The 12,656-nt window shown below is 38.1% G+C and overlaps 1 annotated feature.

Annotated features, from left to right (window-relative positions):
* Positions 10,305 to 10,414: a silencer, noted in NCBI's record as "silent region_5427". NCBI's record gives its function as "represses an Ori minimal core promoter by ATAC-STARR-seq in GM12878 lymphoblastoid cells {active_cell/tissue: GM12878}" and the evidence as "EXISTENCE:reporter gene assay evidence [ECO:0000049][PMID:35858748]".

The following is a 12,656-nucleotide window of genomic DNA, read 5'->3' on the forward strand; positions in this document are numbered from 1 at the left end:
AGATCTTGCTATGTTGCTCCAGCTGGACTCAAGCTCTTGGCCTCAAGAAATCGTTCCTGCCTCAGACTCCAGAGTAGCTGGGACTATACACATGTGCCACTCTGCTGGCTTAGCAATAGCACTTTTCTTTCTCTTTTATGAGTCCCCTCTCATCTTCTCCATGACCTTTATAGTTTTTTCAAACATCTTAGCTTTCTCAGAAAAGGGAAAAGGGGAAGCAGGGAGAGCTTAGGTAGAATTCCCTCAGCCTGTTCCCTAACCCTCTCTCCTCAAATGTTTGTGCCTGTTTTCCTATCCCTGAGCCATTTCTTCTTGTCTCAGATCTGAGGTCTTCCTGTTGAAAATTTTTCCCCTGGGCCAGGCACGGTGGCTCACGCCTGTAATCCCAGCACTTTGGGAGGCTGAGGTGGGTGGATCACCTGAGCTCAGGAGTTCAAGACCAGCCTGACCAACATGGTGAAACCCCATCTCTACTAAAAATACAAAAAATTAGCTAGTCATGGTGGTGGGCACCTGTAATCCCAGCTACTCAGGAGGCTGAGGCAGGAGAATGCTTGAACCCAGGAGGCAGAGGTTGCAGTGAACCGAGATCACACCATTTCACTCCGCCTGAGTGACAAGAGCCAAACTCCATCTAAAAAAAGAAAAAGAAAGAAAGAAAGAAAATCTTTCCCTTGCGTGGATTCCAGAAACTCAGCTACTCAGGGGTGTAGCTTCATCTCCAACTTATTGCTCCCTGCTGCTTCTTTTTCTTTGGCACATAAACAATCCAGGCTCTTTGATGTTTAACCAAAGGCCCCTCTTGGCTTTCTGTCACTCTTTCTTGGACACTCAAGCTCTTTGAGAAGCAGTCTGCACTGGTGGGTCCCAAACCTGACTAATCATCAGCATTACCTGGGAAATTTATTTAAACTATTCGTTCAAGGTCCCTCTCCAGACCTACTAAATCCCAGGGAAGGACCCTCCTATGCTTAGCCAGTTCTACCTCTTCAGTCCCTTTGGGCTCTGTCTCTGCCTTTGAGTGCCCACTGGCTCTGCTCTGGCTCAGGCAAGCATGACTCCTGCTAGGGATACTGTAGCTCTCTTTCAGCTGCTCTACCATGCCTTACATGCCTCTACTCTCCTGCAACACACTTCCAACTGATCCTCAATTTGAACGTCATAAATTCATACATCTTGTCACATTCCTAATTTGAGTCCTTAAAGGATTTCTCTTTGCCTTCAGGATAAAATCCAAATTCCTTGGCATGCCTAGCAGAGCTCCTATTTATGTCACCACTCCTAACTGTGCACCCCAATCATTCATCACTCCCCACCCCCCAAGAATACTTAATCACCTGCAATTTCTCCAGGCACTGCACCTTCTTGTTTCTCAGGTTTTACTTGTACAACGTCAAAGCTGCTTCTACTTGGAAAACCTTTAGTCCACCTCTTAACCCCAGTCCTCCTTATCCTCTAAGACACAGGAATTACTCATATGCCTGTCTGCCTTTACTACCAACAGTGAGCTCCTTGAGAACAGACAAGGTATCTGATTCATTTTCGTGGCCCTCACTGTATACCACAAGGTCATAATATTTAATAGACTGTTGTAGCTGCTTGTTAAAAGAAAGAATGCCCAGATGAACCACTGAATGATTAAATTAAAAAATATTTAAGGCCGGGGGTGGCTCACACCTGTAATCCCAGTACTTTGAGAGGCCGAGGTGGGTGGATCACGAGATCAAGAGATCGAGACCATCCTGGCCAACATGGTGAAACCCCGTCTCTACTAAAAATACAAAAATTAGCTGGGCATGGTGGTGCACGTCTATAGTCCCAGCTACTCAGGAGGCTGAGGCAGGAGAATCGCTTTATCTCAGGAGGCAGAGGTTGCAGTGAGCCGAGATTGCGCCACTGCACTCCAGCCTGGCTCTGTCTCAAAAAAAAAAAAAAAAAAAAATATATATATATATATATATATATATATATATATATATATATATACACACACACACACACACACACATATGTATATATTTAAATCCAACAAGTTATTTCCGAGGGAAGAAGTGTTAGAATGTAAATTAAAATTTCTAAAGGCAACTGAAACTTAGGATATAGATTTAGAAGTGGACAGGATTTCAAAGTTCATATAATCAATTTTACAAATGCTGGCACTTAAAAAAAAAATTAAAATACAAAATGTAACACAGGGCTGGGCGCAGTGGCTGACACCTGTAATCCCAGCACTTTGGGAAGCTGAGGCAGGCGGATCTTCTGAGGTCAGGAGTTCGAGATCAGTTTGGCCAACATGGTGAAACCCTGTTTCTACTAAAAAAACAAAAATTATCCAGGCACAGCGGTGGACGCCTGTAATCCCAGTTACTCGGGAGACTGAGGCAGGAGAATCGCTTGAACCCGAGAGGCATAGGCTGCAGTGAGCCAAGATCACACCACTGCACTCCAGCCTGGGCGACAGAGTGAGGCCCTGTCTCAAAAAAAAAAAAAAAAAAAGTAACTCAGGTTTATATATACACCTCATTAAAACCAACTGGGAGCGTATTTACCTGTTTCTTGTTTTGTTTTTTACCCTTGGCTCTCTCACATTTCTTTTATCTTCCTCTTCCCTATAAAGTCCTACAATGGCTACCAAATTTTCCTTTTTTTTTTTTTCCTTTTGACAGGGAGTCCCGCTCTGTCGCCCAGGCTGGAGTGCAGAGGCACAATCTCGGCTCACTGCAACCTTGGCCTCCCGGGTTCAAGCAATTCTCTGGCTCGGCCTCCCGAGTAGCTGAGATTACAGGTGTCCACCACCAGGCCCAGCTAATTTTTGTATTTTTAGTAGAGACGTGGTTTCACCATCTTGGCCAGGCTAGACTTGAACTCCTGACCTTGTGATCCACCCACCTTGGCCTCCCAAAGTGCTGGGATTACAGGTGTGAGCCACCGTGCCTGGCCTTAAATTTTACTTTAAGTTCTGGGATACATGTGCAAAACGTGCAGGTTTGTTACATAGGTATACATGTGGCATGGTGGTTTGCTGCATCCATCAACCCGTCATCTAGGTTTTAAGTCCCACATGCATTAGGTATTTGTCCTAATGCTCTCCCTCCCCTTGCCCCCAACCCCACGTCAGGCCCTGGTGTGTGATCTTCCCCTCTCTGTGTCCATGTGTTCTCATTGTTCAACTCCCACTTATGAGTGAGAACATGTGGTGTTTGTTTTTCTGTTCCTTTGTTAGTTTGCTGAAATCCAGCTTCATCCATGTCCCTGCAAAGGACGTGAGCTCATTCTTTTTAATGGCTGCTTGGTATTCCATGGTATATATGTACCACATTTTCTTTATCCAGTCTATCATTGATGGACATTTGGGTTGGTCCCAAGTCTTTGCTATTGTGAAAAGTGCTGCAATAAATGTATGTGTGCATGTGTCTTTATAGTAGAATGGTTTACAATCCTTTGGGTATATACCCAGTAATGGGATGGCTGAGTCAAATGGTATTCCTGGTTCTAGATCCTTGAGAAATCGCCACACTGTCTTCCACAACGGTTGAACTAATTTACACTCCCACCAACAGTGTAAAAGCATTCCTATTTCTCCACATCCTCTCCAGCATCTGTTGTTTCCTGACTTTAATAATCACCATTCTAACTGGTGTGAGATGGTATCTCATTGTGGTTTTGATTTGCATTTCTCTAATGACCAGTGATGATTAGCTTTTTTCATATGTTTGTTGGCCACATAAATGTCATCTTTTGAGAAGTGTCCGTTCATATCCTTCATCCACTTTTTGATGGGGTTGTTTTTTTTCTTGTAAATTTGTTTAAGTTCCTTATAGATTCTGGATATTAGACCTTTGTCAAAGGGGTAGATTGCAAAATTTTTCTCCCATTCTGTAGGTTGCCTGTTCACTCTGATGATAGTTTCTTTTGCTGTGCAGAAACTCTTTAATTTAATTAGATCTGATTTGTCAATTTTGGCTTTTGTTGCAGTTGCTTTTGGTATTTTAGTCATGAAGCCTTTGCCCATGTCTATGTCCTGAACGGTATTGTCTAGGTTTTTTTCTAGGGTTTTTATGGTTTTAGGTTTTACACTGAAGCCTTTAATCCATCTTGAGTTAATTTTTGTATAAGGTGTAAGGAAGGGGTCCAGTTTCAGTTTTCTGCATATGGCTAGCCAGCTTTCCCAGCACCATTTATTAAATAGGGAATCCTTTCCCCATTGCTTGTTTTTGTAAGGTTTGTCAAAGATCAGATCGTTGTAGATGTGTAGTGTTATTTCTGAGGCCTCTGTTCTGTTCCATTGGTCTATATATCTGTTTTGGTATCAGTATCATGCTGGTTTGGTTACTGGGCTACAAAATTTTCTAATGCATCTAGTAACTCCAGCTAGTAACCTCAATTCAAATGATAGTATGCCTTGTCTATTTGCCTCTGTGCTAAATAGGTCAAATGTTTCACAATCCATTGTCCAGCTCTTACTTCTGGCCTGGGAGTAGGATATTTCAACAGAGTAGAACAGTCTATTTCCTCCCACCTGTGCAGACATTTATCATCAACCTTTCATGTTTTCACAATCATTTTTATTATTAATAATTATCTCCATATTAACTAGAAATTATACAATATTGAAGCAAAAATGATGTAAATAATATTATCTTTCTTCAAGATATACAGGGATCACTTGTGTATGGTGTATGTATGTTGGATTTGCAAGCACATGTGCAAAATATTTATTAATCTATCTTGTATCACCCTTTATGCACAAGATTTGTCTTCTCTTGCAAATAGGATAGTATTATTTTTTTCCCTCCAATTTTTTTTACTGTGGTAATACACATAACATAAAATTTACCATCTTAACTGTTTTTAAGTGTACAGTTCAGTGGTATTAGCTACATTCATATTATTGTACAACTGTCATCACCATCCATCTCCAGAACTCTTTTCATCTTGCAAAACAGAAACTCTACCCATTAAATAATAACCCTCCATTTTCCCAACCCTACAGCCCCTGGCAACCACCCTTCTACTTTCTGTCTCTATGATTTTGACTACTCTAAGTACTTCATATAGATGGAATCATTTGTCTGCGATTGAATTATTTCACTTATTATCATGTCCTCAATATACATCCATCTTGTAGCATGTGACAGAATTTCCTTCTGAGTAATAATGTGCTAAGTATATACCACATTTTGCTTATTCATTCATCCATAAAAGATACTTAGTTTTCTTTCATGTTTTAGCTATTTTGAATAATGCTACTATGAACATGGGTGCACAAATATCTCTTCTAGACCCTATGTTCACTTTTGGGGGTTTTATATACCCAGAAGTTATTAATAAATTGCTAGATTATATGGTAATTCTATTACCATATTAGTTTTTGAGAAATGGCCATACTATTTTCCACAATGGCTGTACCATTTTACATTCCCACCAACAATGCCCAAGTGTTCCGATTTCTCCAAATCCCCATTAACACTTGTTATTTTTCTGTTTTTTTTTTTTTTTTTTTCAGTTGTTATCCTAGTGGGTGTGAAGGGGTGATTTGTTTTTATTATTAGGATTATTTTACCTAAATTGATTAATTGGATAGCTTAAAGTACTTTTGTTTCTACTGATAATTTTTTAGTTTGCTTCTGAAGCATTTTGTTTTTGTTGGCAAATGATAGATAAAACATACTGCTTTCATTTCCTGAATACTTAACTATAGTGTTTCTTTTTTTTTTTTCTTTCAACTTTTAAGTTCCAGATCTATAGTGTTTCTAACATCAGATGATCAGTGATCAGTGACCTTAAATTGATGACATAATCACAGGCACTTCCCAACCTTGATATTTTGTGGTAAAGTCAGAAAAACTAAGTATTTTTGTTTTTAAAAAAGGTCACATTTAATGACTATATATTTGATAATATTAAGAATTACTGTTTAGGCTTTTTTTTCAAGCTATGATAATGGATATTGTGATTACGTTTAAAAATGTTCTTATATTTTAGTGGTACGTGCTGTCTTAGTTTAGGCTGTGTAACAAAGTACCATAGACTAGGTGGTTTAAACCAGCAGTCTCCAACCTTTTAGGCACCAGGGACCAGTTTCGTAGAAGACAGTGTTTTCAGACGGTGGTGGGTGAGGAGATGGTTGGGGATGAAACTGTTCCACCTCAGATCATCCAGGCATTAGATTCTCATAAGGAATGTGGATCCTAGATCCCTTGCATGCGCAGTTCACAATAGGGTTCGCGCTCCTATGAGAATCTAATGGAGCTCAGGCGGTAATGCTCGCTTCCCCACCGCTCACCTCAAGCTGTGTGGCTGAGTTCCTAACAGGCCATGGACCAGTACCAGTCCGCGGCCTGGGGTTTGGGGACCCCTGTTTAAACAACAGATATTTATTTCTCATGGTTCTGGAGGCTGAAAATACAAAAATCAGACTGCCAGCATGGTTGGGTTCTGGTGAGGGCACTCTTCCTGGTTCCAGACTTTTCATTATATTATTACATGGCAGAAAGAAAGCAAGAGAGCTGTCTAGAGCCCCTTTTTAAGGGCAATAATCCCATTCATGAGAGCTCAGCCAAGACCTAATCACCTCCCAAAGGTCTCATTTCCTAATATCATCACACTGGGCATTAGGATATCAACATATGAATTTTGGGGAGGCACAACTGTTTAGACCATAACACATACTAAAATATTTACAGACTAAATGATATCATGTCTTAGATTTGCTTCAAAACAATCCAGTGGAGGGCAGGTGGTGAGAAGAGGGAGGTTATAGATGAAACAAGATTGGTAATCAATTGATAATCATTGAAACTGAGTGATAGATTCATGAAGGTTTATTATACTGGTCTCTCTACTTCTGAGCAAATTATAATTTTTTTTTTTTGAGACAGAGTCTCACTCTGTCGACCAGGTTGGAGTGCAGTGGCGTGATCTTGGCTCACTGCAAGCTCGGCCTCCTGGGTTCAAGTGATTTTCCTGCCTCAGCCTCTTGAGTAGCTGGGGCAAATTATAATTTTTAATTTTAAAGACTTTTTTTTTTAAAAAAAGCTGTATTAAATCTGTTTAATTATTAAGTATTTGAAAAGATTACATTGGTAAGTATATTGAGAGTTGTTTTTCACTTAATGCAGAAAAGAAAAATGTAAAATAAGACCTGTATATTGTACTCACATATTGCTTTACTTGTATTTTATTCTTACCATAGATGATTGATTATTCTCAAATGATATTAAGCTTGGTTCATACTAGAAACAAGTTTTTCCTCTTCCCTCCCTCTGTCTCTCCCTTTCTTCCTTCCTTCCTTCCATCCCCAGGATAGACTTGAACTCTGGGCTTAAACAATCCTCCTGCCTCTGCCTCCCAAGTAGCTGGGACTGCTGGTGTGCACCACCTTGCCTAGCTATAAACAATTTTTAATGTCTAAATATTGCATAATGAGTTGCATAAAATTGTGACAAAAACACACTACTCTTGAAATGATGCATAATCCAAGCATGCCACTCTCTGGCTACAGACATAGTACAGCTCAGTACAATAGAAGTTCCTGCAATGATGAAAATGTACTGTATCTGCTCTGTCTAATATGCTAGCCACTAATCACATATGGCTATTGAACTGACCAGTGCAACAAAGTGGCTAGTACAACTGTTGAGTGGCTAATGCAACTGGGAAATAAACATTTAAATTTACTGATTATCATTTATATGTTTAAGCACTTTTCTTTAGAAGATTTGACAAATTATGTTTTGTTTGTTTGTTCGTTTGTTTTTGTTTTTTTGAGACGGAATTTTGCTCTTCTTGCCCAGGCTGTAGTGCAATGGCACTATCTCGGCTCACTACAACCTCCACCTTCCATGTTCAAGCGATTCTCCTGCCTCAGTCTCCTGAGTAGCTGGGATTTACAGGCATGCACCATCACGCCCAGCCAATTTTGTATTTTTAGTAGACGGGGTTTCTCCATGTTGGTCAGGCTGGTCTCAAACTCCCAACCTCAGGTAATCCACCCACCTCGGCCTCCCAAAATGCTGGGATTACAGGTGTGAGCCACCACACCTGGCCTTGACAAATTATGTTTTTCAGTTAAGATATACATCCTTTGGACAAGTGAAAAATAAAATAAAAAAGTCCGTAGATGAAAAAATCAGGAATTAGTAGTTATACTACTTGACATCAAATATTTTCTTGATGTTAAAACTTATACTGAAAAAGCATTATAAATAAGTTGTCTATAAACAACTGTATTAGTCTGAAGAGCTTCCATAAGAAAACACCACAGACTGGGTGGTTCAAGCAACATAAATATATTTTCTTACAGTTCTGGAGGCTAGAAGTACAAGATCCAGGTGCTGTCAGCGTTGGTGTCTGATAAGGCCTCTCTTCCTGGCTTGTAGATGGCCATCTTTTCACTGTGTCCTAATATGGACTTTCTTCTGTGCATGCATGCAGAAAGAGAGATCTATGGTGTCTCTTCCTTATCCTGTAAAGACAACAATCTTATCAGATTAGCGCCCCATCCTTGTGACCTCACTTAAACTTAATTACTTTGCTTAAAGGCCCTATCTTCAAATACAGTCACTCAGGGGTTAAGGTTTCAACACATGAATTTTAAGGGGATACAATTCAGTCCACAACAATAATGATATAAATTTTAACTGTAGTTAGTTCATTTTAATCTACCTTCTTTTAAGATTTCATTATTTACATATCAAACCAAGGATTTTAAATAGCTAATGATAATAAGTCAACATTTATAGAATGCTTACCATATGTGAGGCACTATTCTAAGCATTTTATATGTTTTAACATATTAACCCCTATACCAACCCTAAAAGCTAGGTATGCCATTAACATTCTCATTTTTCAACGAAGAAACTGAGACAGAGAAATAGTAACTTCCCCAAGTTTATGCTAGCAACTGGTGGAAGACAGAATTTTAACCCAGAAATTTGTTTCAATCCTTTTTTAATTGCTTTGCTATACTATTGCTCTTGAAATAATTTGCTTAGAGAAGGATTAAGAGAGAATGATTAAGTACTTGTTAAAAATGTGTTCATGAAGTTTCTCATCACTTTGGAAAAATCCCATGTAGGTAATTATATTATAAAGTTAAGTGAAAAAAGGACATAAAATTGAATATAGAGAATTATTCATTATGTTTAATCTCCCCTCTCCCCTCAAAAAACTATGCTTAGAAAAAAAGACCTGAAATAAATCTGTTGTCTACCTTTTGTATGTTCAAAATTTCTTTTATCAGAAAAGTGTTTATTATAAAACTTTAGTTATTAAAATTATGAAGATAATTTAAAAGTTATTTATGGTTATAGTAATATTTTAAGTTAGAGGCAATCTAAATCCAGTTTTTTATAAAAGTTCATAAAAAATCTAGCTGAAAAGGTTTGGCCTTTTATTTCCTCAGATGCTTACCCTGATACTTAGATTAGTTTTAGTTGAATCTGAAGATGTTTTTATTTATAATGAGTTATTAAGTCTATATTTCTTAAAGATATGATTTTGTTTTTCAGATAAACAAAGTAAAACAGTTCTCTCCACAGACAAATCATTAGTACTCCTTAAATTGAACTTTTTGACTTGACCTTTCTGAGGTTAGCAAATAGATTGTGGGCAGAAGAAAAAGTTCATGTTTCACAAATGATTCCTGTCTTCTTTCACTGATTTTAGTACTTTACAAGATAAAAATATCTTCAGGACATGCCACATATGTACAACCTAAGATGACTTTTGATAAAGCAAGAGACACATTGCTTACCTTAGTCTGGACTCCTGAGATGTATGGAACTGTCTTGAATTGTCTCCACTCAACAGGAGTCATGTTTCTAGCTGTCAGTTGTTGGATACCTACTATTTGCAGACTTTATTCTAGGTATCTCATTATTTTATTAAATCCTCACTCCAGTCCAGTGAGGTGGATATTTTCACTTCCATTTTACAATGAGGAAATTAAGATACAAAGCGAAAATTCAACTTGGCCAGGGCCAGCTGCTGTATGAGTAACAGAAGCAACTCTAAAATTTAGTTCTGCCAAGGGCAGTAGTTATGAAGATTAAATAAAATAACTCAGTAGAAACAACCCAATGTTAATTTGTGGATGAATGGATAAAGGAAAGGTGGTATATAATGCAAATGTATATTATTTAACCAAATAATTCTTACACTTACTGCAACATGGAATGAAATTCTGACACATACTACAAACAAAAAGCAATACGATTTTGACATATACTACAACATGGAAGAACCCCGAGGACATTATGCTAAATGAAGTAAGCCAGACACAAAAGGACAGATACTGCCTGCTTCCACTTATATAAGGTACCTAGAAGTGTGAAAGTCATAAAGACTGAAAGTAGAAATGTGGTTGCCAGAGGTTGAAAGGAGATGGGAATGGGGAACTAGTGTTTAATGGGTACACAGTTTCAGTTTGGGGTGATAAAAAAGTTCTGGAGATGTGGTGGTGGTGGCGGCAGTGGCATAACAATGTGAATGTACTTCATGTCACTAAAATGTACATGTAGACATGGTTAAAATCATGAATGTTATGTTATTTATATTTTATCAGAGTAAAACAGTCACCCATAAAGTCTCTTCAGTAGAGTTCTAGCTCATTATAGAACCAACACATGGTTGAGGATCACAAGAGACTATCTGTAATAATAAATAAAAGGAGATCATTAATGAGGTACCATTTAAGTGGTCAGACCTATTTTTGTTTAGAGAAAAATCAGGGAAAAATTTAGAGAACTCTACTTAGAGAAAATCAGAGAAAAATTCATGGAGAACTATTAGAAGTTTTCTAAACCTCATTTGCAAAGTATGATACTTTTTTAAAACCTCCTGGAATATTTCCTTGTTGAAATTAAAAATTCTTAAGAAATGATACAGCATCTTATGGTTATTTCTTTATAGCAATGGAAGGGAAACTTCAACCAATTTTAGTCACCAAATCAATAATGAGGCCTTATTCTATGCAGGTCTTATGTTAGGTATTGAAAGTGGAAACATCCAATCCTCTGCAGCCAGAGCTGGAAGGCAGGGGAAGTAAGCCCAGATAAAAAGCTATAAAGAAAAGAGATGAGCAGGCAAAATTGCTAAGGTGTTCTGAAGGAAACTTCAAAAGAAAGAGACAGATAGTCCCCGGGATGTTCACATAGACAAACACGCTCCCTGAAACTAAAGGTCAAATAAAGAACCAACAAAACAAAACAAAACTTCAAAGAGCCCATCTGTTGATGGACAGTTCTGTACCAATTTATTCCTCCTCTCCCTATTTTGTAATATGATTTTTCCTCTTCTACCTTGGGCATTTTCAACACAGGCGTAGAGAAAGAAGCAGAAAGTGAGGGAAATCTACCACATCTGACCATTCGCCTGAGCCTGGTTCCTGAAGCCAAGAAGAATGAAAAGGGACGTCAATATCTCTATCTGCATTTCTATATCTAACACGGGACCCATTTCCCGAAAAATAATGAGTTGCTGCAAATCCAAGAAAAAAAGTAGGAGACTCAGTACAAAAATAGACAAATAAATAGGTCAGCAAAGATGACCTCCAGATGGTCAAGAAGCATATAAAGAAGAATTTAACAGTCATTGGAAAATCCAAATTAAAATAACCAGATACAACTATAGTCTCATCAGAACACCTAAAATAAGAAACAGAGACAATATAAAATGTTTGTGAAGCTGTGGCTCACCTGGAATTCCCATACATTGATGATGGGAGGAAAAATTGGTATAAACATTTTAGAAAACCATTTGGCAGCATCTACTAAAGCTGAATACACACACTATTTTCATTTGTAGGAATATACTCATCAGAAATCAGTGCGTATATTCACCACAACATGTACAAGAGTATTCTTAGCAGCATTGTTCGTAATAGCTCTCTTATGGGTTGAACTGTGTCCCCTCCACCCTCCAAATTCACATGTTAAAGTCCTGGGCTGAGAATGTGATCTTGTTTGGAAATGGTGTTGTTGCAGATTTTATTAGTTAAGATGAAGCCATACAGGAAAAACGTGGGTCCCTAATCCACTATACTGCTGACCTTATAAATTGAGAAAATTTGGATATAGAAATGTACGTAGAGAAAATGCCATACCAAGATGAAGACAGAGATCAGGGTGATACTTTTACAAGCCAAGGAATATCAAAGATTGCCAGCAAACCACCAGGAAGTATGGGAGAGGAATGGAACATATTTTTCCTTACAGCCCTTCAAAGGAATCAACCTGCTGACACCTTGATCTTGAACTTTTGGCCTCCAGAACTATAAGACAATAAATTTCTGTTGCTTAAGCCACTTGGTTTGTGGTGCTATGTAACAGCAGCCCTAGGAAACTAATGCAAGACCCAAAACAGAAAGAACTCAAATGCTCACCAGTCATATTTATTTAGTAAAACAGGTAAATAAATAGCGTATTCACACAATGAAATACTATACAGCAACAAAAATGAATAAACTACAACTGCACCCAACAATATGAATAAATCTTGCAAACATGAAAATGAATCAGACTCAAAAGGATACATATAGTATGCTTCTATGTACATAAAGTTAAAAAACTGTGGAAACTAATTTATGGTGTTAAAAGTCAGGATAACGGTTATACTTTGTACAAAGGTAGAGGCAAGAAGTGTGCCAGGGGGTC

This window comes from Homo sapiens, chromosome 13 (assembly GCF_000001405.40).
Source record: "Homo sapiens chromosome 13, GRCh38.p14 Primary Assembly".
NCBI lineage: Eukaryota > Metazoa > Chordata > Mammalia > Primates > Hominidae > Homo > Homo sapiens.